This window comes from Homo sapiens, chromosome 1 (genome assembly GCF_000001405.40).
Source record: "Homo sapiens chromosome 1, GRCh38.p14 Primary Assembly".
Taxonomy (NCBI): domain Eukaryota; kingdom Metazoa; phylum Chordata; class Mammalia; order Primates; family Hominidae; genus Homo; species Homo sapiens.
This window is the reverse complement of record NC_000001.11, coordinates 39691494-39717627: the sequence shown is the minus strand read 5'-3', so window position 1 is coordinate 39717627 and position 26134 is coordinate 39691494. Positions and strand designations below refer to the sequence as shown.

General features: G+C 45.4%; 5 annotated features.

The window, feature by feature from the left end:
• Positions 5054-5749: an enhancer, noted in NCBI's record as "OCT4-NANOG hESC enhancer chr1:40177551-40178246 (GRCh37/hg19 assembly coordinates)". NCBI's record gives its function as "activates a minimal SCP1, AML or CMV promoter by ChIP-STARR-seq in naive H9 embryonic stem cells {active_cell/tissue: H9 hESC(naive)}" and the evidence as "EXISTENCE:reporter gene assay evidence [ECO:0000049][PMID:30033119]".
• Positions 6369-7126: an enhancer, noted in NCBI's record as "OCT4-NANOG hESC enhancer chr1:40176174-40176931 (GRCh37/hg19 assembly coordinates)". NCBI's record gives its function as "activates a minimal SCP1, AML or CMV promoter by ChIP-STARR-seq in naive and primed H9 embryonic stem cells {active_cell/tissue: H9 hESC(naive and primed)}" and the evidence as "EXISTENCE:reporter gene assay evidence [ECO:0000049][PMID:30033119]".
• Positions 16160-16812: an enhancer, noted in NCBI's record as "H3K27ac-H3K4me1 hESC enhancer chr1:40166488-40167140 (GRCh37/hg19 assembly coordinates)". NCBI's record gives its function as "activates a minimal SCP1, AML or CMV promoter by ChIP-STARR-seq in naive H9 embryonic stem cells {active_cell/tissue: H9 hESC(naive)}" and the evidence as "EXISTENCE:reporter gene assay evidence [ECO:0000049][PMID:30033119]".
• Positions 25226-25816: an enhancer, noted in NCBI's record as "H3K4me1 hESC enhancer chr1:40157484-40158074 (GRCh37/hg19 assembly coordinates)". NCBI's record gives its function as "activates a minimal SCP1, AML or CMV promoter by ChIP-STARR-seq in primed H9 embryonic stem cells {active_cell/tissue: H9 hESC(primed)}" and the evidence as "EXISTENCE:reporter gene assay evidence [ECO:0000049][PMID:30033119]".
• Positions 25889-26118: a silencer, noted in NCBI's record as "silent region_711". NCBI's record gives its function as "represses an Ori minimal core promoter by ATAC-STARR-seq in GM12878 lymphoblastoid cells {active_cell/tissue: GM12878}" and the evidence as "EXISTENCE:reporter gene assay evidence [ECO:0000049][PMID:35858748]".

Below are 26134 nucleotides of genomic sequence, written 5' to 3'. Positions count from 1 at the left end.
AAAGTGAGATGATAAAGGAAATTTTTGCTAAGCCTTGAGCATGTGTAGATGGACTTACACCCTGCTTGACTTTGAGCCTGGATGAGTAATAAAATGCAAAAATCAATCAGTTAGGGTCCCAGAAGAAGGAACCAAAGCAACTGCTTCTGGGAAAATTGATCAGAATCAGAAAAAAACCCATAACAAACAAACAAACAAAAACCCTAACCTGATGAGGAACTTCTTGTGTTTGCGATTTGTGCCTCAAGTGTTTATTTGGATTCAACTTCGTGGACTTACTGGGTCAATAAAGATTCAAAAAAGCACAGATGGAATTGGGGCTCAGTTCCATTACAGCCAAATAATCCTGAGAGGACAAGCTAAAGACTTATTTAAACCAATCACCTCTCCTTATGAAACTGTGTGGCTTTTGCCCTTATAAGCCTACCCTTGCCTTTGGACTGGGTGTCAGTCTTCACGAGGCATGCTCTTCCTTGTATACTACTCACCTAAAAGTAAACCCTTAATGCTTATATGAAAGAGTAGTCAACATCACTGATCATCATAGAAATGCAAATCAAAACTACAATGAGATATCATCTCTCTCCAGTTAATTAAAATGGCTTTTATCCAAAAGTCAGGCAATAACAAATGCTGGTGAGGATGTGGAGAAATGGGAAACCCTCATACACTGTTGGTGGGAATGTAAATTAGTACAACCACTATGGAGAACAGTTTGGAGTTTCCTCAAAACTCTAAATAGAGCTACCACATGACCCAGCAATCCCACTGATGGGAATATACCCAAAAGAAAGGAAATCAGTATTTCGAAGAGGTATCTGCACTCTCATGTTTATTGTAGCACTATTCATAATAGCCAAGATTTGGAAACAACTTCTGTGTCCATCAACAAACAAATGGATTTTTAAAAATGTGGTACATATACAGTTGAGTACTATTTAGCCGTAAAAAAAGAATGAGATTCTGTCATTTACAACAACATGGATGGAACTGGAGGTTATTATGTTAAGCGACATGAGCCAGGCACAGAAAGACAAACTTCACATGTTCTCACTTTCACTCATTTGTAGGAGCTAAAAATTAAAACAATTGAACTCATGGTGATAGAGAGTAGAAGGATGATTAGCAGAGGCTGCAAAAGGTAATAGGGAGTGTGGGGGGAGGAAATGGGGAAGCTTCATGGGTACAAAAATAGTTAGAAATAATGAATAAGATCTAGTATTTGATAGCACAACAGAGGGACTATAGTCAATAATAATTTAATTGTACATTTAAAAATAACTAAAAGAGTATAATTAGGCTGGGTGCAGTGGCTCACGCCTGTAATCCCAGCACTTTGGGAGGCCGAGGCGGGTGGACCACCTGAGGTCAGGAGTTTGAGACCAGCCTGGCCAACGTGGTGAAACCCCCATCTCTACTAAAAATACAAAAAAAATTAGCCAGGTGTGGTGGCACGCGCCTGTAGTCCCAGCTACTCAGGAGGCTGAGGTAGGAGAATAGCTTGAACCCGGGAGGCAGAGGTTGCAGTGAGCCTAGAACACGCCATTGCACTCCAGCCTGGGCGACAAGAGTGAAACTCCATCTCAAACAAACAAAAAAAAGTATAATTGGATTGTTTGTAACACAAATGATAAATGCTTGAGGTGATGAATACCCCATTTACCCTGATGTAATTATTACACATTGCATGCCTGTATCAAAATATCTCATGTACCCCATAAATATATACACCTATTATGTACCCACAAAAATACAAAATAAAATAAAATACTGTTTAAAAAAAAAAAAAGGAAACTCTCAATGCTTAGGTAATTGTCCTGAGTTATTCTTTAACATTTAATCTGAAGACCCAATCGTGCATGGCCGAACTTTGTATTGGATCAGGCTTCCTCTGCCTTACCTAGCAGTACACTCAGTTTAATACTCACTACATATCAGTATTTATTTTGTCTTTTATTAGGGAAAATAGTTCCTATCTCATAAGATTACTTTAATGATGAAATGAGATGACACATGTAGAACAAAGCCTGAGGTGGCAAGAACTTACTAAATGTCACTGTCATTAATTCAACAAACATCATTTATAGCATCTATTATATCAGACACAATTCTCCATCCAAAGGATGCTAAGGTGTTTGTATCAAGAAGGGTCTAATCAGAAGACAGAAACCACAGCAGTTATTTGAGCAGAGAAAATTTAATATGAGCAGAGAAAATTTAATATAAAGAATCTTGTCGGCCCGGTGCAGTGGCTCACGCCTGTAATTCCAGCACTTTGGGAGGCTGAGGCAGATGGATCACAAGGTCAGGAGTTCAGGACCAGCCTGGCCAATATGGTGAATCCCCGTCTCTACTAAAAAATACAAAAATTAGCTAGGCGTGGTGGCGCGCACCTGTAAACCCAGCTACTCGGGAGGCTGAGGCAGGAGAATTGCTTGAACCCAGGAGGTGGAGGTTGCAGTGAGCCAAGATCACACCACTGTACTCCAGCCTGGGCTACAGAGCGAGACTCCATCTCAAAAACAAACAAACAAACAAACAAACAAAAAAAAAGCTTAGCCGAGGGGCCCTGCAGAGCTGCACCTCAGATCTCTGAGGAAGAGGTGCCACTCAGCTGTTGGAGTTTCTGAATGAAGCACAATAAGGCTGCTCTGCAAATGTTGGGAAATTTGCAAACTGGATTCAGCAACCTCCACAGGAAGGAACTGCAGCTGATGCAAGGCAAGCAAGCCCCGAAGTGGAGCTTAGCCCATGAGGGTTCTTGGCTTTGCCCAGGAAAGAATTCAAGGGTAAGCCAGAGATAGAAGAAAACAGCTTTACTGAAGAAGCAGTGTTATAGCTCTAGTGGTGTTACAGTGTTGCAACTCTGTGACTGCTCCTTCTGAGCAAGGCTACACTGGAGGCGGAGAGCAGCAGCTCAGGGCAGTTTTGCAGTCATATTTATACCCACTTTTAACTGGATGGAGATCAAGGGGCAGTTTGTGCAGAAATTTCTAGGGAAGGCATAGTAATTTTGGGTCATTGGGTCATTGCCATGGAAAGAGGCGGTAACTCCCTGGTGTTGCCATGACAATGATAAATTGACATGGTACATGGTGGGCGTGTTTGATTGGAAAGCGGCTTCCACCCCTACCCTGTTTTAGCTAGTCCTCAATCTGGTGCAGTGTCTGAGCCCCATTTCTGGAGTTGAGTCCTGCCTCCTACCTCATTGTGGCCCAGGCGAGGAAGTGTTGCTAGGTGATGCTCACAAGTTCAGGAAGACCAAGGAAAGAAACCAATTCCTTCCTCCTTCAGCCTTGCAGTCTCCCTCTTGTACTACCCATCAACACAGCCTAACAGAAAGCCTGCTTTTGGCAATGCAGAAATACAGTTTGCAGAGTCCCTGTCCCAGCATCATGGTGCAGAGTATAGAAGGATGAGTTGAAGCAATAGACAAGAGCTTAAGAACCAGCACAGTCCATTGGTTCAGCTATTCAAGATCCATGTGCACATATTTTTACATCTTTCTCCATATATGTCAACTTTTCAAGACAATAAAAACAACCGCCTTTCTGTCTAACAAGATACAACTACCTTTCATATAAACAAATCCTCTCCCCAAAAACGAAGAGATGCAAAGTTGCAATAATTACTGTATCCATTTTTGGGAGACATTCATATCATCCACTTCTAAGACATGTTAATTACTTCTCAAATTTAGTCATAGTCCCAAGTGAATATTCAGTTGAGCTTGTCATTTCTTTCTATAAGCACTCTAGTGCATTCAAAAGAATCCATCCCACATCCCAAATAGTTCTTGCAGTCATCATCACTGCCATAATGACCAAGTGAAACAGCCACCTTGTCCCCCAAGGCACTTGTAATAGGCACTTCATCACAATCAACCACAGGCAATTATGTGATTAATCATAATGTCACTGTATGCCATGGATTGCTAGCATGCCATTTTCCATTGCCAGTGGAGCTCGGCACTGAGTTCAAGCCCAAGAACACATTAAAGTAATATCACGGCAGGGTGCCGTGGCTCACAATGGCAGGGTGCCGTGGCTCACGCCTGTAATCCCAGCACTTTGGGAGGCCGAGGTGGGAGGATCGCCTGAGGTCGGGAGTTTGAGACCAGCCTGGCCAACATGGAGAAACCCCGTCTCTACTAAAAATACAAAATTAGCCAGGCATGGTGGCGCATGCCTGTAATCCCAGCTACTCAGGAGGCTGAGGCAGGAGAATCGCTTGAACCCGAGAGGTGGAGGTTGCAGTGAGCTGAGATCACACCATTGTACTCCAGCCTGGGCGAGAGAGCGAGACTCCATCTCAAACAAACAAACAAACAAAAACAATAACAAAAAAAACCACACACACAAAAACACATTTTTGAGGAGTTATTTCTTGGGACCACTCCTGAGACCAATTTCTCAAGCAGCTATGGTCCAATGAGACAGAATACCACCATGTGAACAAAGAGAATTGAATATAAATAATTGCTAACTAGATATAAAGTTGTGAATGAAGTCACTAAAAGAGAAAAAAAAAGAAAAAAGAAAAAGGAAAACCACCGAATTTGAGACCAGCCTGCACGACATAGTGAGACCCTCTCTCTAAAAAAAAAAAAAAAAAAAAAAATGCTGGGCGTGGTGGCGCATGCCTGTAGTCCCAGCTACTCAGGGTGCTGTGGCATGAGGATTGCTTGACCCAGGATATTGAGGCTGCATTGAGCTGTCTTCATGCCACTGCACTCCAGCCTTGTCAACAAAGCAAGGCCCTGTCTCTCAAATAACAACACACCAACATATTATGGATGAGTAGCTACCACTCCTAAGACTGAGGGAACTGGGAGAAGAGGTTTGAATTATTAAAATTTGTAAGTTTAGAAGAAGGGGACTCCAGAGCTGAAACTCATCTCTGAGGATGGGTGGCTGCTGCTTGGATGATGCTGGTGCCTTTGAACCTGGAAGAGGGTTCCATGGGGCTGAGACCCAGGCCTCTTGGGGACAGGGCACTGTCTGGCTGGTGCTGGTGTCTCTGAGAAGACCATATTGGGGCTGACTCTGCAAGTGGTGGGAAATTGCAGAGTCAGTTCTGGAGAGAATTGCAGAGCAACTGGTCTCAGCTGCTGCTCCAGGAAGGTGCTGCTGCTGCCAGGGAGTAGAATAGAAGCTTTGCTGGAGTGATGCTCGCTGAAAATACAGGCCATCAGACAGCCACAGGAAATTCACAGGGAACCAACAGAAGAAGTAAGTTTCTTCTTCCATCCCCATCATTGCATGCCCTCTCTCCCTGTGTATTAATCATGTCTTTTTATTTTCTTTTATTCGATGTTTTGACAACTTGGGGCCTTACTGATCCTGCAGGGACTGTCTCTCCCTCGCTAGCTAATTCCTAAAGATAGTAAACAACTTAACCTAGAGCACGCCTTTCTTATGCAAAGTAACCCATCCAGAGCCCATAACCACAACTATCTATGCTAACCAAGCCTCTCCTAAGCTGAGGTCACTATCCGCCTGCCCTAATGACCCCAGGCCCCGGTACCAGACACCTAAGGACAGCTTCTTAGGAGCCTGTTGAAGTTATTCGAACAAGCCAGTTCTAGGCCTACTTACCCTACCTTGGCTGTTCTTTCCAATGAAAATCACAATAAAAACTCTTGCCTACATTTTCCCCTTGTTCCTTCTGCCTCCTGACCGACCCCGGGGCTTCTCTGTGCCCCTACCCCCACATCCATGGTATCTCATGTCTCCCATTTCTAGGGAACTGTGAGTAAACCTCTTCCTTCATGACATTCCCTTCCAAGTCTGCTTGTCTTACAATACCTGATTAAAACAAATGCAAATCCGGGTTCCATTAAAACACCCTGGAGCGTCCCCTATTGACAAAGCCTAACAGCCAGCAAAGCAGAAATGTGGTTTTCAGAGTCCCAGCCCAGCTTCACAAAGCAGGTCATAGAAAGGAGGGTTTGGAGCAGAGAGATGACAGCTTAATCGCCAGCACAGTGTGCAAGTTAGATAACGTCCTGACTGTTAAATGGGTTATAGTCCAGGCGTTCATGACTAGAACATACCAGAGTAGAAAACTGCACCTTTGAGGCATGACTCAGCTGAGACAACACACAAAGAAGCCCAGCGGAGGGGGACTGGGAGTGCTGGGGCTGGAGGAGGGCTTGCCATGCAAAAGGGGCCTATCAGAAGCGACTGCACTAAGGCAATATCCAGCAAATTCCAAAGGAGGAGAGGGAGCCAGCTCCGCAGATATTTGGGAATCACTCTCTGAGACAGGACAACGCCTGCCTTCAAGGAATGGCAAAGGGGCCATGTGATGTTAATTTTGTGTTAATTTGGCCAGGCTGTGGTGCCCAGTTGTTTGGACAAACAACAGTATAGCAGTCTAGCTGTTGCTATGAAGGTAATTTTTTGCATGTGATCCACATTTTTTTTTAAGAGAAGGTCTTGATCTGTTGCCCAGGCTGGAGTGCAGTGGCACAATCATGGCTCACTGTAACCTCAAAGTCTCGGGCTCAAGTGATCCTCCCATCTTGAGCTGGGATTACAGGTATGAGCTGCTGTGTCTGGCCTGTGATCAGCATTGAAACTCATAAACTTTTAGTAAAGCAGACTCCCCTCTATAAAGTGGTTGGGCCCATCAGTTGAACTTGGGGCCTTACCGTGCATGGACTGTCTCTCCCTTGCTAGCTAATTCCTAGAGATTGCAAACAACATCCTAGAGCACGCTTTTCTTATGCGAAGTAACCCATTCAAAGCCCATAAACACAACCATCTACTCAACTGGTCTCTCCCAAGCTGAGGTCAGGTCACTATCCGCCTGCCCTAATCACCCCAGGGTACCAGACACCTAAGGACAGCTTTGGAGCCTGTTTAAATTATTTGAACTAGCCAATTAAAAATAAATACTGAGGGGCTGGGAGCAGTGGCTCACGCCTGTAATCCCAGCACTTTGGGAGGCTGAGGCAGGTGGATCGCTTGAGCTCAGAACTTCAAGACCATCCTGGGCTATGTGAGGAAACCCTGTCTCTACTAAAAATACAAAAATTAGCCAGGCGTGGTGGCTCGTGCCTATAGTCCCAGCTACTGGAGAGGCTGAGATGAGAGGATTGCTTGAATACAGGAGGTTGAGGCTGCAGTGAGCTGTGATGACGCTACTGCACTCCAGCCTGGGCGGCAGAGTGAGACCCTGTCTCCAAAATAAATAAATAAAGACTGAGGTATGCCAAGGAAGAAGGATTTCTGTCTCCAGACTGCAACATCAAAATTCTGTTCGAGTTTCCAGCCTTCTCACTTGAGAATGCAGCATCAACTCTTCCTGAATTTCCAGGCTGCCAACCTGCCCTATGGATTTCAGACTTGCCTGTCCCCATATCACACAAGCCAATTCCTTAAAATAAATCTCTCAGCTGGGTGCACTGGCTCACACCTGTAATCCCAGCACTTTGGGAGGCTGAGGCAGGTGGATCACAAGGTCAGGAGTTCAGGACCAGCCTGGCCAATACGGTGAAACCCCGACTCTACTAAAAAATACAAAAATTAGCCAGGCGTGGTGGCACGCACCTGTAATCCCAGCTACTCGGGAGGCTGAAGCAGGAGAATTGCTTGAACCCAGGAGGCGGAGGTTGCAGTGAGCCAAGATCACACCACTGTACTCCAGCCTGGGCTATAGAGCAAGACTCCGTCTCAAATAAATAAATAAATAAATATAAAATAAATCTCTCTCTCTCTAATGCATCCCATTGGTTCTTTTTCTCAAGAGTGCTCTAATACAGGCCAGGGTCGCAGAAGGGAGGGAAGGATGAGGCGAGGATGATGAAATGGGGCCAGAGGTGAGGTGGGGTGGGGAGCCAGTGGTGGTCCTGGAGCTGCTGGGAGGTTTAATCGACTCACAGTTCCACAGGGCTGGGGAAGCCTCAGGAAACTTACAATCATGGTGGAAGGGGAAGCAAACACGTCCTTCTTCACATGGAGGCAGCAAGGAGAAGTGCAGAGCGGGGTGGGGGGGAAAGCCCCTTATAAAACTATCAGATCTGGTGAGACTCACTCACTGTCAGAAGAACAGCTTGGAGGTAACCGCCCCCATGATTCAATTACCTCCCATTGAGTCCCTCCCACAGCACATGGGAGTTATGGGAACTACAGTTCTAGACAAGATTTGGGTGGGGACACAGCCAAACCGTATCACACATTTTAGGTAATAGGAGTTACAGGGCCAACCCCTGCTATGGCGATCATAAAAAGGGCTTATGTAACAGTTGTCATGGTGAGAATCACCATGGATGTTTGCAGCTCCAGATCACACACCAGGTGAAAATCTCTGGTGACGTGTAACTTCAGTAAATAACCAGGTAATGTTGATTCCCTTGATAAATGGTTATTAGGGTAATCAGCATTAGCTGCTATAACAAACAACTCCAAAAAGGTAAATGGCTTAACTTCATAGAAAGTTGTTTCTCATTCATGTCACAACCTGAGGCAGGTTGGTGAGGGCTTTAGTCTACACAGTCATTCAGAGACCCAGACTTCTTCCACCTTAGGATTTTGCCTTCCTATCTATTGTTGAAGTCCTCTTCACTCAGCTGATAAATGGAGGGGAGAAAGCATGATGCATGAGAGGTTTGTATGGGCCAGGCCTGGAAGAGACACACATCACTTTCATTCACATTCCATTGGTCAGATCTCAGTTACATTCCATACCTCAACAGCACCGGTGTCAACATCAACAGCCAGTGTCAAACACCTGATGATGTGTGTGACAATGTCCCCAGATGATTTTAGCCCTCAGCTGTCAAATTTTCCCAGCCGAGGCCCTGGGCATGGGGGAGCAAAGATAATCCACCTATGTCCTAAACAAATCCCCACAACTGTGTAAGGACTAATCTCTATAATAAATTCCCTTTTCCGTGTTTCTGCTTGTCTGATTTAATCCTGACTGATACAAATCATGAGCTTTAACAGAATGTAATTGCCATTCTGAATGGTTTAAGTGCCACACAAGTTGAGCAACTTTCAACTTTTAATCACATTTGGGCACCTTTTCATCCCACATTTACTTCACTAGCACTTATCATCTACTCATAATTTTTGTTGAAATACTAAGTCTGTTTTCCTTCTAGAAAGACAAGTTATTTGGTTTATTTTCAATGAATTATCTATAGCATCAAAGTCATTTCCAGGCTGTTGTGAGTTTTACATAGTATTGATTTTCCTTATTAATATATTCTTAAAAATTTGTCCCCCAGATTCAGATTTTTATTTATTTTTATTTTTATTTTTTTGGTAGAGATAGGGTCTCATTCTGTTACCCAGGCTGGAGTGCAGTGCTGCAATCATAGCTCACTGCAGCCTTGACCTCCTGGACTCAAGCAATCCTCCTGCCTCAGCCTTCTGAGTAGCTATGACCACAGGTGTGCACCACCGTGCCCAGAGAATTTTTCTATATATTTTTTTTTGTAGAGACGGGGGTCTCCCTATGTTGCCCAGGCTGGTCTTGAACATTCTGGCCTCAAGGGATCCTCCTGAAGTGCTGTGATGACAGGGGTGAACTACTACGCCCAGCCAAAATATTTTTATTTATGATATTTAAAAGGAACACTTACCTAAACACAGTTGTCTCTTCATCCTGGGTGTTCTTTTTACAATTTTCCTGTAAGTTCTGGATCTTTTAAGGAAACAAAACCCCGCACACTTACTATAAATATTATTTGGAGCAAAAGTAATGCGGTTTTTGCCATTAAACATAATGGCTATTAGTTTTGCACCAACTTAATATAATGCACCAACAATAAAACCAAAGTCAAGGCTAAGTTATTTAGAAGCACTAATAAGTGAGCAATTTGAGGATAAAGATAAACTCATTATTTCTCTAAAGCACAGAGTGCCCCATAAAAAATGAGCAATGTAGCGTGTGCTGTTTGCCGTGACGTGGACGAAGTGGCAGATAGTGCAGCTAATGCTTCTGAGAAGTTTCTATTTTAGGAGGCCCATTTATCAATGTTCATGAATGTGTCCTAATGAGTTTATGTTATATCTTAGATTTATAAATAATTAACTTTGCTATTTATTGCAGTTAGTATTTACCATTTGCCAACTAACATGTTACTATTAATATTTTATCAACTGTCCCAATCTCCACCGTCCATACCTATTTAGCAGCCCTGTTTAGCACAATGCCTGTGTCTGTGGGCGGCAGAACGCAGGCAGAATTGCATAATTTAGTTAGAGGTCTCTTCCCACCTACAAATTCTCCTTTCAGAATACAAATTATAGAAGTATTTTGTTTGTTCGTTTCAAACAGAAAAAACATTTCCATTACACAGTCAAACCCTGTGTCCTCATCCTTTCCATGTTTATTTTATCCTGGGGGCCTTTTCTTTCCCATCCAATGCTCCTCACACCACATCCCACAGGTCTCACCCAACCTCATTAACTACCTTGCTTTGACTTCTTCTCCTTTGGCCTCCAGTTTCCCTGAAACTAAATCACAGGGCAACAAAACTCCACACACTTACTCTAAGTATTACAATGTACCAACAATAAAACCAACTAGTATGTTACTATTTCAATATTAAATACAAAAACACAATCAATAAAAAATACAATCACAGGTATCACAAGGTGTTTGTTGGTTGGTTGTTTGGTAGAGATAGGGTCTTGCGCTGTCACCCAGGCTGGAGTGCAGTGGCACAATCATAGCTCACTGAAGGCTCAAACTGCTGGGCTCAAGCGATTGTCTCGCCTCAGCCTCCCAAGTAGCTAGGACTAATGCCTAGCCACAGGGTGAGTGTATGCCAAGCTAATCTTTGTAATTTTTGCAGAGACAAGGTCTCTACAAAAATGAGCACCCCAAGGTATGGCCAAAATAATTTGGGTGAGGAACATTGTCAAAGAGAAATCACCATTAGCCTACCATGGCTCTATGAAACTGTCAACAATCCTCTCCTGGGGAAGTTCTGTCTTTCTATTTGCATCTAGATCATACAAAAATGATTTCAACTCATTTAGAAATAGATTTTTAAAACAAAAAGAGAAAAAATAAAGTTGGGTACCTACCTCACAACATATTTCAAAATAAATTCTAGATCGATCAAAGATCTGCATATACAAAATAGGCCAGGTGTGGTGGCTCACACCTGTAATCTCAGCACTTTGGGAGGCTGAAGTGGGCAGATCACCTGAGGTCAGGATTTTGAGACCAGCCCGGCCAACATAGTGAAACCCTGTCTCTACTAGAAATACAAAAATTAGCCAGGCATGGTGGTGTGCGCCTGTAGTCCCAGCTACTCGGGAGGTTGAGGCATAAGAATCACTTGAACCTGGGAGGCAGAGGTTGCAGTGAGCTGAGATCATGCCACTGCACTCCAGCCTGGGTGACAGAGTGAGGCTCTGAAAAAAAGAAGGAAGGAAGGAAGGAAGGAAGGGGTCTGAATATATGAAATAAAATTCTAAAAATATCAGAAGAAAATGTAGACATGGATAGACTTTACTACGTAAAATGAGAAGTCTCTGTATACCAAAAAAAAAAAAAATTCCTAAACAAAGCTAAAAAACACAGACTGAGAAAATATGATAGGCAAAAAATTACCTATAACATATAAGGATATACTAATTAACAAGAAAAAGATAGCCCAATTGAAAACTGGCCCAAGGGTATACAAAGGCCAGTCACAAATAAATAAGAAAGGTCAAAAATTAAATGAAAATATATTCAACCTCAGTAATTATCAGGGGATATAAGTTAAATCAAAACAAGATATAATTTTTTATCAAATTGGCAAACTTTAAAGATAGATGGTACCCAATTTGAGCCAAGATATGGGAAATAACCAATTTCATATTCTGCAGTGGGTGTGTTTACTGATAGCAATATTAGGAACCAACCCTACAGAAGAGATTCAGTATACGTGCTTGTTCACTAAAGCAAAGTTTCTGACAGTGAGAAATGAAAGATAATTATAAATATACATTAATAGGGGAATGATAGAACGAATCAGGAGCAAGCTCAGGGGATGTGTGTGTGTTTGCAAGGGAAACAAATGGTCTGGAAAGAAGGAAAGGAAAGACTCCAAACTTAACTAGAGATGCCCTTGAGGAAGGCAGCAGGATTGGGTAGAGTGGGAGGGGAGGACTTTTACTTTTTATTCTATATTCTCTTTTATTGTTTAAATTTACTACAATGAACACGCATTTTGTAACTAGAAAAGAGGAAAAAGAAAACGTAAAATTAAAATTTAAAATATTATCGGCCGGGCGCGGTGGCTAACACCTGTAATCCCAGCACTTTGGGAGGCCGAGGCAGGAAATCGAGACCATCCTGGCTAACACAGTGAAACCCCGTCTCTACTAAAAATACAAAAAAATTAGCTGGACTTGGTGGCGGGTGCCTGTAGTCCCAGCTACTTGGGAGGCTGAGACAAAAGAATGGCATGAATCCGGGAGGCAGAGCTTGCAGTGAGCCAAGATCGAGCCACTGCACTCCAGCCTGGGTGACAGAGCGAGACTCCATCTCACAAAAAATAAAATAAAATAAAACAAAATATTATCAAAATTTAAATGTAAAAGTATTAATCAAATTAAAAATATGAAACTGTAGCAAAGCCATTGCAAGACAGGCACTCTCCTACACTGCATCTTTTCTGGAGTGCAATCTGATAAGATGGCTTATGTCAATAACCTTAAAGATGTTCCTAATACCTGGTAATATGAGATAGCTTTGGGGAGGAGAAATGGATGGCTGGAGGACTTATGGGGAGGGGAGGTGGGGGGAAAGGACAGAAATCTCACTATGCACCCTTTTGTACCTTTTGAATTTTATACCATGAGAACATACTTCATGTTAAAACACTTGATGAAAAATTTATAAACAGTTCATATCCCCCAATCCAGCAGTTTATCCTTCTACAATTTATCCTAGGAGTAAATCATAAATCTGAGCTAAGGCTTATCCGCAAGGATATTCTCCATGACATAATTTCTAATAATAGAGAACTGTTAACAATTCAAAATCCAACATGAGTAGATTGATTAAATAAACTATGATGCATACATAAAGTGGAAACATAGTTATTACAACAATTTTTAAAGAAAAAATTTGTATATTGTTTTAGAAAGATGACCAAAAATATATTGAGAGGAACAAATTGAAAATTATATGTATATGTATATGTATATATACATGTATATGTATATGATGTATATATATTTAGATAGGCCAGCAGGACAGATGAATACCTAGATACATAATCTGAAAGAATCCACACCACAATGTTAACAGCATTTTGTGTCTTAGTAGTAGTGTTATTAACATTATTAATATTAGACAAACACTGAGAAACTGCCCTTATAAGGCAATGACTGTCAGATGGAAGATTTTAAAAAGTAATACAATTAAACTTAATGAGAAATGAAAATTTAAAGGTTAAGAAGACTCTCAGGGCAAAATGAGTAAAGTAAAAGCTCTAAGATCATTAAACTCAGAGTTTTTCTTTAAGTGGCAAAAATGTTAAAGAAGAAACATAATAAATAAATTAGCACAACCAAGAGTTAAATATTCAAAAGACAGAAAATAAAAGTGGACAATCCTAAAGACAAACAATTTGAATGATAAAGTTACCAAACTAATATAAAAACTCAAGTATTTTAAAGATAAAATATTAAACATAGGCCGGGCACAGTGGCTCATGCCTGTAATCCCAACACTTTGGGAGGCCGAGGTGGCCCTTGAGGTCAGGAGTTTGAGACCAGCCTGGCCAACATGGTGAAACCTTGTCTCTACTAAAATACAAAAATTAGCTGGGCATGGTGGTGTGCGCCTGCAATCCCAGCTACTGAGGAGGCTGAGGCAGGAGAACTGCTTGAACCCGGGAGGCAGAGGTTGAAGTGAGCCAAGGTCGCACCACTGCACTCCAGTCCGGGCAACAAAGCGAGACTCTGTCTCAAAAAAGAAAAAAAATTAAACATAAATCCCCAACATGATTGTAAAGAGGAGAAACCTCTACAGAAAACCATTCAAGGAACTTAATCAGCAAGAAAGGTATCATAGGTGCGACTGAGAATAGAAAAAAATTCCCTAACTCCAGGGGCCCAGTGCAAAATAAAAACGTGGGGCCCCTGATTAAAGAATTATTAAGAATTGCAAAACGGCATCAGCAGAGCATTAAATTAAGTGGAGCCCTGTGTGGCTGCACAGGTTGCATGCACATGAAGGGGTCTGTCCGGGTGCCTTTCTGGGCTAGAACAACTGTAGAAGTTTGGAAGCCGGGAAAGCTCAGCTCTGGTTGGATGGGAAGGAAAGGGGCCAAGATCTGAAAGGCTAGCCCCACCCTGGCTGCCCCTGCTGACCAGTTTTCCATCTTGAAAATGTGCACATGTCCTAACCGCAGTTGGACAGGCCTGATGATGGTAAGTGTGGCAGCTAACATTTACTGAATGTTAGTATGCCAGATATTAACTGCTTTGCATAGATAATGCTTTAAAATCATTACAATAACCCCATCCCCCCAAAAAATCCTCAAATCCTACAATAACCCTCATAGCCACATACAGAAAGTACTATAATTGAACTAGTTTTAAAGATGAAATAGAAACTCAAAGAGATTTAGTGACCTGCCTGAAGTCACATGGCTGGTGAGTATGGAGCCTCCTCTCTGTGCATCCTTGGTCCATGATCTTAACTGCTATTCTAATCTCCCAGGTCCACAACACATGAACCCCTACTGTACTCATGGGCTTGAGCACCCAAAAGGTAGGGCAAGAAGACTGGATTCCCCTGGCTGGGTATAATCTCTTAATGTCCCCTTGGCTTCTAATACATGCACCTAAGGATCCCTGTCTGGCCCCCAGCACCTGTGAGTCAATCAGCCCATCACAGGTCCTAGTAGCAAACTGGGCATCTCTGGAGACCACAAATGCTGAGATGTGGATGCCCTCACCAGGATGCATCACATTCCCAGCCATGACCTGGCCCTACTCCCACCACCTGGTCATCAGGAATGGATTCCATTTTCTGGGCTATCCCCATGTTCTGGTCTCTGGAACTTTTCATCCCCACAGACTCTCCCAGGAAGATACCCAGCTATCCTCCCTATCTAGCTTTAGAACTGCAAATCTCAGGGTACCAGAAAGAGTCCCCCCATGGTCTGAAGCATGTCTATATGCTCTCCTGGGGCTCTATTTCTGGCCCTTTGGTTCTGTGCTTTGTGAAATGAGAATAATAACAGCAAAAATATATAACAGTGTATGTGCCAGACAATGTCCCAAGCACTTAAGATGATACATTATCACATTTAATCCTCACGACGATCTTGTAAGGGAGGTTCTAGTCTTAACCCAGTTTTCGAAGTCAGCAAACTTAGAGGGAGGAGTGACTTGCCCAAAGTCACAGCATGAGTGAAGTGGGTGATGCAGCTGTGATAGGATTAAAGTCCCTGACTTTCCATCTCATTATCTCCTTGTGTGCCCTCCCTGCCCTTGCTGGGATAAAACACCACAAGGAAGAGCCTTCTCCTCACTGCCTGGCTCCCTCACCCACCTTCCCTTCAAAGGCCTCTATGGCCACTCAAAGGCCCCTTCAAAGTGAGGCCACAGTCCCCTCTGCTGGCAGCTGCCTCTCACCGCACCTCCTATCTCTGATCTTGCATGGCCCTTATTAGTTGAGAGGTGTTTGGCTGCGAGCCATAGAAACCAGCTCCGCCTAACTTAAGGGAAAAAATGGCGGGAAGTTGGAGAGGGAGAGCTGGCATGACATGTTAGAAGGTTCATGGGGGTGTCTCAGGGGCTCCCAGAAAGGGTTGAACAGCCAAGAAATTGTCACAGAAGGGCAGGCCTAGAACATCCCACAGCAAGGGATCATAGAGCTTTCTTCCTAGAACACTGCCCAGAGCATGTGATTCCACTGTGATGATAATGAGATTTCTTTCTTCTCCATTCAAAATTCCACACTCCCAGGAGACAACATCTGATTGGCCCAGCTTGAGCCAGGCATTTCCGCAAGTACAGACTGAGGCTGCAGGTGTGTGTGTGTGTGTGTGTGTGTGTGTGTGTGTGTGTGTGTGTGTGCAGGTGGCCAAACAATGGGGCAAGCACTGGTCTGAGTGGCTGAGCATCTCAGGGCCAGGATGAAGGAGGGGGCTCTGTGCCAGGGACTGGCGATGGCAGACAGAAGGAGATCAGTAAGGAAGCCAGCACCTGGATCAAGAGTGCCGATTCTTGTCGCTCTCCCACCCCTCTCCACTGTTAGTCCAAACCGCACCATTTTGTAAGCCCCCGCTGCCCCCTCCCCCGCCATCTCGCAGACCTTGGTCGAAGTGAAACATTCCATGGGGTACGGACTGTGAGAAACAGCCTGCCTCTTATCATATTCTGCTGGGAGAAAGTGCAAGGAACACCACATTCCGCCAGAACAAGGGCCAAAACCGCCTCAGCATGGGAACACGTAATCAACATCTTCCTGGGCAGCAAGCCATACTGCCCAGACCCCTCCCCCACATGCTTATAATTACCCCAGCCTGTAAGCAGCGGTGGGCTCTGACATTAAGCTGATCCCCCTACCTCCACAGGTTTTTGCAATATACCTGTGTTGCTGTAGAGCTGCCCTCTCTCTCTGTATGTCTTTCTTTAACCCTTGCCTTCCCTTTAAAAAACCTAACACCTTAATCCAGAGCCCACAAGTTCAATCACTTTTAGTTTACTGAAATTCTTCCAAATTAGTTAAATTTTCAATTTCACCTTTGACCCAAAGCTCTCTCCCAGCCCCTATTCTACGAGGGGCAGACTTACAGCTCTGGTGGCTGTGGGCAGGGAGGGAGCATTTCCACACCTACCACCTTCCTTGTGATTGCTTCTCTGCAGTGGGTTTTAGGAGGAGGAAGAAAGGAAGAAAAGGATTTCTCATGTGAATGCCAATGGTGAGTTGGGGCAGGCCGTTTTCTGTGGGCCATAATGTCTATTCCCCTGCATGAATAACCACACATCAGTTGCTTTCGTACCCAAGAGCAGGGGTGATTTTCTAAATACTTAATAGCCAGAATGGCACAGGCACCAACCCAGGTGAACAGTCACCTGCCAATCCCTGAGCAGGGTCCTGAAAGCTCCCTGCTGTGCCAGGTCAGAGGTAGGGGACAGCAGGGACTCCATTAGGTACTTCAAAAGTCCTGGGTGCTCTAGGGGTGGGGGCAGAGTGGCTGGGGTGGCAGGAAGCACTTGGGGAAGTGGCTATTTGCAAGCTGATATGGAAATGTTTCAATATTTTAACAATTGGTATGGCAGTTGAATTTTAGCCTTGCCGTCACGAATCCAATTCACTGTCTATACACTCAGCTGGCAGTGAGGTTTCTATAGGCCCTGCTGGTGAGATACTCAATCCTAAGCCATTCTTTTAGGTATTGATGGTCCCTTGAAACATAACTACATTTTTCTGTAGATCTCTAGCGGGCAGTATGCCATGTTTCTCTGCAGGAGTTTTAAAAAACATTCAGCTCCCAATTTCGTCTGGCCTCTTCACCCCCAGTTTCAGGATCTATAGCTGTGCTGTCCAATCTAATAACCACAACCTACATGGATTATTTAAATTAAAATTAATTTAAAAATTAAACTTAGGCTGGGCACGGTGGCTCACACCTGTAATCCCAGCACTTTGGGAGGCCGAGATGGGCAGATCGTAAGGTCAGGAGATAAAGACCATCCTGGCTAACATGGTAAAACCCTGTCTCTACTAAAAAGACAAAAAATTAGCCAGGTGTGGTGGCACGCGCCTGTAGTCCCAGCTACTCAGGAGGCTGAGGCAGGAGAATTGCTTGAACCCAGGAGGCAGAGGTTGCAGTGAGCCGAGATTGTGCCACTGCACTCCAGCCTGGGTGACAAAGTGAGACTCTGTCTCAAAAAAAAAAAAAAATTAAACTTAGTTTCTCATTTGCTCTAGTTACACTTCAAATGCTCAATAGCCCCATGTGACTAGTAACTACCATACTAGATAGGTTGAGTACCAAATTCTTCCATCATTGCAAAAAGTTCCACCGGTCACCACCAGGTTATAGGATCTACCTTCCATAAATCTCAGGAACTGACCACTTAAGGGCCCAGTCCTTACCCGCTCCAACTGGCATTTCCACCACACCTTCTCTCTTCAGTGCTTCTTCCCACCTCATCCCACCCTTGCCATTGCAGTACAGAGGCAGACTGATGCATTGTGTGGGTCAGCTGAGATACAACCTGAAAAAGACTTCCTTTCCTGATGATACCCCAAAACTTAATGAGCTAATTCTTAGGAGTCCCCCTCCCAGAGATTTGGGGAAGGGAACCATTTGAATACACCCACAAGAAATGAGAGGACACTACAGTCTGTCTCCCTTTACAATCATAGCACCCCTGTCTCAGCCCTCTATAGAAATCTAGGGTGGTGTAGAGAGATTGTTGGGCTAGTTCTGAAGTTGAGCATCTCTCCACAAACGCTGCAAGAAGGTGGCTGAAACTACAGTCTTCAGCAATCTGAATTTACAGTACCAGTCACTTGTCTGTTTGCTGTCAACACTATTCTCATCCTACTATGCTTCCCTCTGTATAGCAAGGGGCTAGAAGCCTGCAAACTACATTTCTCAGATTCCTTTATCAACTGACTTCCCATTAGGTTCTGCCAGCATGTGGCTCTTATGGGAGTTTGGAAAGAAGAAGGGAGAAGCCTGTTTTTCTTTCTCCAACAGTGGAAGGAGCAGCAGCAAAAACAATGGGCAGACTCCTAGCCCTCTTCCAGTGGCAGTGGTGGCAGGCACCCCAGCTGCCTTGGCAGCATGGCTCTTATGACCCCTAGCTCTGGCAATGACAGCCACAGCAGCAGGTGACTTCAGACTTCAGCACTGCAGCATCAGTGAGAGTGTGAGCTCCTGGCTTCTTGCAGGGCAGTAGTGGTGGTGGTTCCGGTGGCGGTGGCTGCAGGTGCTCCAATGGAGTTAGCAGCAGTGCAATGAACAAAGGCTCTGCAGAGCATCATTTTCCCTTTTGCCCCCCGCTCCCCGCAATTAGAAATCTAGGCAACCTCACCATCTGCATTTTGCTCCTCCAGTCCTTGTAACACTTTTAGTGGCTTCCTGCAATTAGAAATCTCAGGGCAACCTCGCCATCTGCATTTTGCTCCTCCAGCCCTTCTAACACTTTTGTATCAAATCTCTTATTATAAATTCCCTCTCCAATCTAATAGAATGGTTTTTGTTTTCCCTGGAACGTAAGAAGTGACGTGTGCCACTTCTAGAGCAAAGCCTTCAGAAGCAGATGTGCCTCCTCCACTCTGTCTTTCCCTTTTCGCTGGCTGGAGGCCCTAAGGGATGGTAGCATCTCAGGGTAGAAGGAGCCTAATCCCCAAATCCCCACAAAGAAGAGAACCACCCATCAACCTGACACTGACCCTAGACTGTATATAAACAAAAAATAAAATTCTATTGCATTTGAGTCATTGTATGTTTGGATCTATTTGTTATAGCAGCTTAGTCTTTGTCCCAACTAATATAGCACAGTAACAACCATGATTTATATGTTCATCTGTGTATCATTCTTACTCGTGCCATGGAACTCTGCTAAGCACTTTATCCTCATGAGTCCTCACACAAGTAGTTCCCATTATTATTCCCCTTTACAGACTAGGTAACTGAAATGCAGACAGAATTTGTCCAAGATCTGTCTGACTTGAAAGCCTATGTACTTGGAGATATATATATATATAGATATATAGAGATATCTATATATATATCTCGTTTTCTGCTTGCTGCCTCTCTCTACCCTAATCTACCCTGCTCTGTGCCCCAGGAGCCTGCATATGAACTGCACTACTGCACTAACTAGGCTTCTTTGCCCCCTGCCTTCCTGTTGGGTTTGGCCAATGGGAGACATAGTAGGAGAGCAGCACAAGGGAACTGAAGGAGGTCAAGGTATTTTTTCCACCCACCCTCAATCTCTCTATACCAGGCCATGTGTTGGCAAGGGCTGTGTTACTCTGCCAAAAGCCACAGCTCTCTCTAAAAAGCTATCTCCTATAATAAACAGCTCTGCCCCCTCCCCTCACCCATTGAGGCCTGGGGGTGGTACTGGATCTCCACTGTTGCTAGCTGCACGGTGCTTGGCAATACCTCATTGATTTCTCTCAACCATACTGTACCGTACCTATGTACATAATTCCCTTATTGACCTTTCTTTAATTATCCCTTTGAGTGCCACTTGCTTGATAGTACAGCTTGTATGTGTTCTTATAAACTCTAGGCACCTCTATTGTTTTTCTCCACCAAGCATCTATTCACCCCTTTCTTGGAAGGAACACCTTCCTTCCCTAGTGTGGTGGCAGGGGCATATGCTTTGGGAGGACTTGACTTGACTTCCCAGTTCTGGGTGTAGGAAAATGACTCAAGCCTGGCCAATCTGAGTACTGCATACCCCTGTCTTCAGCGATTGACCCTGAAATTAGCATGGACTCCAAATCAGGCCAATGAGAGCCAGCCCAGGACTTTGGCTGCAGTGGGAAAGAGAAGCTCTCTTCTTTTCTGTGGGACTCCAACCTGACAGTATGTTGGCCTGGAGATGCCCACAGATATCTTGTCTTTATGTGGATCTCGAGAATTAAGCCAACACTCAAGAGAGCAGAGCTGAGCCTTGGAAAGAGGTCAGGTATTAATTACGTTGTTTAAGCCCTAGAATCCAGCCAGCCCTAAAGTCCAATCTATTTCTGTTTTTTTTTTCTTTACTTAAGCCATTACATTCTCTTTTTGCCTAACCCATCATAGGGTGGATTTTCTGTACCTTGCAACAAGTCATAACTGACAAAGAAATATATCAAATTAATATATGTTCCCTGAAAGCAAACATAAATCACCTCTAGATAACCTAAGTTTAAAACATAAATCTGGGGAAGAGATGTGGGATGGCTTACTGACTCAAAGGAAAAGCAGAAGACGGGATTCAGATAGCAGGAATGAATAGACAGGGTCATTAGGGCACTGCTCTGGAATAAAGCAGTGCTAACTATCTACATCCTTGAGTCACTTTACTCAAGATTCAGATTTGCTTGGGGGAGAGAGAGAGAGAGAGAGAAGGGGAGAGAGAGAGAGAGAAAGCAAGACACCTGAGCTGATAGTTTCCACCACAACTGTACATAATAGGGTGCTATTACTATACACTGTAATTCCTCAAAGTAAAATCTGTGCTAAGCACTTTGCATATATTAACTCATTTTAATCCTCAGAGTAGCCCTATAAAATAAACACTATTTTTGTTTGTTTGTTTGTTTTTGAGGTGGAGTCTCACTCTGTCACCCAGTCTGGAGTGCAGTGGTACCATCTCAGCTCACTGCAACCTCCAGCTCCCGGGTTCAAGTGGATTCTCCTGCCTCAGCTCCTCAAGTAGCTGGGATTACAGGTGTGCGCCACCAGTCCCGGCTAATTTATTTATTTTATTTTTTGTTTGTTTGTTTGTTTGTTTGTTTTTTGAGATGAAGTCTCGCTCTGTCGCCCAGGCTAGAGTGCAGTGGCGTGATCTCGGCTCACTGCAACCTCCGCCTCCCGGGTTCAAGCAATTCTCCTGCCTCAGCCTCCTGAGTAGCTGGAATTACAGGTGTGTGCCACCATGCCCGGCTAATGTTTTTGTATTTTAGTAGAGACAGGGTTTCACCATACTGGCCAGGCTGGTCTCAAACTTCTGACCTTAGGTGATCCACCCGCCTCAGCCTCCCAAAGTGCTGGGATTACAGGCGCGAGGCACTGCTCCCAGCCTGGCATGTTTTTAGTAGAGATAGGGTTTCACCATGTTGGCCAGGCTAGTCTCAAACTCCTGACCTCAGGTGATCCACCTGTCTTGGCTTCCCAAAGTGCTGGGATTACAGGCATGAGCCACCGCTCCCGGCCAATACTATTTTTATTATCCCTATTTTACAGATAAAGAGACAGAGACACAGAGAGATAAAGTAATGTGCCTGTAGTCACACAGCTGGTAAGTGACAACTGTGGGATGCAAACCTAGGCAACCTGGCTGTAAGTCTGTGCACTTAACCCATTATACATATGGCTTCTCCAATAGAATAAGAGGGAATAGATTCAGGACAGGCAAAACCACAAGGTCCCCTGCAGTTATCATGCAAGGAGTTATAGGGAACTTCCACTCTCTCTGTAGTTGTTGTCTTCTTTCTTCTTTCTTCTTTCTTCTTTCTTCCTTCTTTTCTTTCTCTTCTCTTCTCCTTCTTCTTTTCCTTCTCCTTCTTCCAAATAATAGAGAGACTTCTTAAAAAAAATCGTGCTTAGCCAATAGCATAAAAGGAAGGAATCCAACTCTGGTGATCTCACTCTCTCCCAGCCACAAAGAAGATGGTGAACTATCTAAGACCTAGGGGAATTCCAGCTGTCAGGAGGCTGCACTAGCCAAGGCAGAGAAAACCCAGGGAATCAGGAAGGCACTATCCATCATAAAGGCACTGTTCAGGACCAAGGAGGAGAGGAATGCTAGCACTTAGATGAAACAAATTGAAGTGGCCACTGTCTGCAGACCTCTGTCCTCACCCAAACCCTGCTGGGCTCACTCCCCTCCATGCCCCTTTGTGGGGCCTCCTGTACAGCCACCCTGTCCTTCAGTGCAGCTTGATTTTGCCTCCTCATTCTGCAGAGCCTGCTCCTTCAACAACGTGGAACAGGTGTTTGCCAAGACTCCAAGCCTGAGAACAGTAAGGCCATGACAAAGCCCCAAAACTTAAGCCACATTCCTCTGGCTCATAATAGTGGAAATCCCAACTCAATTCTGGATGCTACCCCTTCTCAGGAACACAAGTCAGCCAGTGGTTAAGAGTGTGGGCTCTGAAGTCAGACCTAGGTGGGAATCCCAGCTCTTTGACTAACGAGCTGTGTTACAATGGACAAGTTGTCTAACCTTTCTGAGGCTCCATCCTGTGCCATGAAATAAAGTAATGAAACAAGGGCTGAAATTCAGTCCCTATGCACTGTACAGCTAAACTGGTTATTAAAACATAAAAGTACTTCCAAATTGATTGGTAAACAGCCATAGCCTTTGACTCCTTACTATGCTTGCTTCTCCCTGCCTGCCTGACTGATCCAATAACCTAAGTGTTAACTCTTGGCAGAACAGAGAGCTACTAAGACCTTGATCTAGCACTAAGGCCAGTATCCATTCTGATTGATAACGCTCATGCCTGAATGGAGTGTTAGATATTTTTAATATCATCCCTAGTAGTGGTCATCTTCTGGATTAAGTAAGATGATGCAGATAAAGGACTTGGCAGATAGTCTGGTACACAGTGAGGCAATTCAGTCAATGTCAGCTGTTATTGCTTTAAACATCAAACTGAAGGGAACAGAGGCAGGGTCCAATATCAGGGCCTCAAAGTTGAGTATGATGAACAGGTGAAGCTGGGTTATGACTGGCAGTTCAGGAATAGTCACATGGCCCCAAGATGATTCATGGGTGAGGCTGCATGGGTAGTCATGCCTGGAGGATAGGATGGCCAGGAGAAGCCACACTCTGGCCCCCTTGCAGTTCAGGAGGGCTGCTGCTTTTTTTTTTTTTTTTTTTTTTTTTTGTGTGTGTGTGTGTATATCACTCTGTTGCCCAGGCTGGAGTGCAGTGGCGTGATCTCAGCTCACCGCAACCTCTGCTTCCTGGGTTCAAGCGATTCTCCTGCCTCAGCCTCCTTATTTTTGTATTTTTGTATTTTGTATTTTTAGTGGAGGCAGGGTTTTGCCATGTTGGCCAGGCTGGTCTCAAACTCCTGACCTCAAGTGATCCACCCGCCTCAGCCTCCCAAAGTGCTAGGATTACAGGCATAAATCCTGGGTGTGAGCCCAGGAGGGCTTCTTGTTTTCACTACTTCTAGTTTACTGTACTGCTGGAATCCCATATCTTGTTCACCTGAGACAGAAGGGCTGCCCAGGAGGCTGGATTTTGCCTTTCTAATACCTTGGGGAATCAGAAACAAATATTCCAATCTAAGGTCCTTACCCTTAAGGACTTGAAGGACCATAAGAAGAGGCAGTATTGTGTACTGATTAGGAGTGTGGGCTCTGAGGCTAGACTGCTGGGGTTCAAATCCCAGCACTGGAGCTCTCTTTACTAGCAATGTGAACTTGGGTCAGTCACTTAACCGCTCTGTGCCTTGATTTCCTCATCTGTTAAGTAGGAGTAATAATAGAACCTGCCTCACAGAGCTCTTATGGGGAATAAATTGAGTAACTTATTCCCAATTTATATTATATGGTAACATATAATATGCTAGAATAGCACCTGACACAAAGTAAGCTCTCGATACACATTAGCTATTGTTAAGGGGCTCAGGACTCTTAAGTGGAGCAGTCAGATTCATGTCCACATACTTCTGTCCAAGGGACAGTCTTTCTTCACCCACCTGGTTGAAAATTTCCCCCTGCTCCTCTGGACCTCTTGAGCCAGCTCCCACATTTCACAGACTGGGAGGCCCAGAATGAGAAGGGTTTTGCCCACGGTCGTAAATGGAATCATTGGCAAAAATGAGACTCAATGTTAGCAATATGAACTTGGGTCAGTCAATGTTAGGGTTTCAGATACCACTTCTAGTAACCTGTGCTGCCTCTCCCCACTTCTTCACGCCTTGGATTATGGTTAACTGTGAGCAAGGGGGGTTCTCGCTCATCTCTGGGTCCCCAAGACCCAGAGCTGAGAAGGTATCAGAGAAGTGAAAGAGTTAGAGCTTCAAACACCTGTCTTTCATGAGTCACCAACCCATAGTGCCAAGGACGCGCCTTCTCCTACAGCTGCAGGTTCCTTGGAGCCCTCAGCCCCCGCTAAGGCCGCAGAGAGAAGGCATAGTCCGCAGCCTCGAAAATGGTAGAGCAAAACCGTTTCAAGGGGCAACGGGACAGGTCCTAAAGAAAAGGGACGTCCACGGGTTCCTCCCCCAGCGAGCCTGGCCCAGGCATTTCTGGGACCAGCTCCAGAAGCCTCGCCCCCACTCGCGGCAGGTCTGACCCCATCCTCCATCGCCCCGCCCAGCCCACCTCTACCTTCGCCGCGCGGACAGAAGCCCCGCCTCTCACCGCTGCTCTTCAGCGTCCGCGCTCCGATTAGGCCAATCCCCAGCCGTCCGCCCCGACTTTCGACAGATCCTTAGAAGTCCCTGCCCCGCACGTGGCCCAGCCCGGGGATGTCTGGCTCCCCTTTTGCCCCCAGTTTGGCTTAAAAGGGTTCCTTCCCACAGCCTTGTGTCAGGAGCTCTCAGACGCCAGTGCAGCCCAGGCGGCCGGCCCGGGCTGTGGGGAGACCCCCAAGTGCGGGGAGGAGGTGTTGCCGGGGCCCTGAAAGCTTCCAGACCCGCTCAGTGTAAACCGCCTCGGGTTTGTGTCAACATCCGAGGCCGGAGACTGGCGGCGGCTGGGGACCGGCTCCGTCTGCGGGACGGGAAAACGGGAGGGTGGGGAATGGAGGATCCATGGCTAGGCATAGGGGTCCTTCGGGGGAGAACGCGAGAGGCCTCTTGGGGGTCCATGAGAAAGGAGGAGGGCCCGTCTGGGGAGGGACCGGAATGAAGGGCCAGAGGGGTGGCTGGAGGGAACCCACGACTAGCGCGGGGCTAGGTAGAGGCTGGGACTTCGCCACCCATACCGCGCTCTCCGCGCGCAACCAGCACCCTCCTCTCTGCCCCACGGCGTGAGGGGAGTGGATGCGTGGGGAGGGGGGACGCAGAGATGTGGACTGCTGACCAGCCACCTCCTCCCTCTCCCACCCAGCTCCTCCCCAGCTCCTCTTTGGCCCCTCCCAATTTCGGGTGGGATATGGGTGTGGGGGGGGGTCTCATCTTGTGACTCATCCCCTCTTCCGCCCCCACCCATGCTGGGGCCCAGGAAAGGAAGCTTAGAGATTCGGCTGTGGTTCTCCCGTTTCCATAGCAACGGTGAGGTTGTTTTTGAGAATCCACTTTCATCGTCGACCCTTTCCACCCCAGACTTGTAAGCCGGGGGCTGAGCCTCAGGGCAGGGGTGCAGATGGGGGTGCAGCCCTCCCGCTTCCCGGCGACTCCGGGAAGGTCAGCGCGGGCAGGCGGGGCGCGCTCCTGCGGCCGGGCCTCGCCGGCCACCCGGTCCCCACCTGAAACCCCGCCTGCCACTCCGCTCCAGAGGAGCCAATAGCCGTGC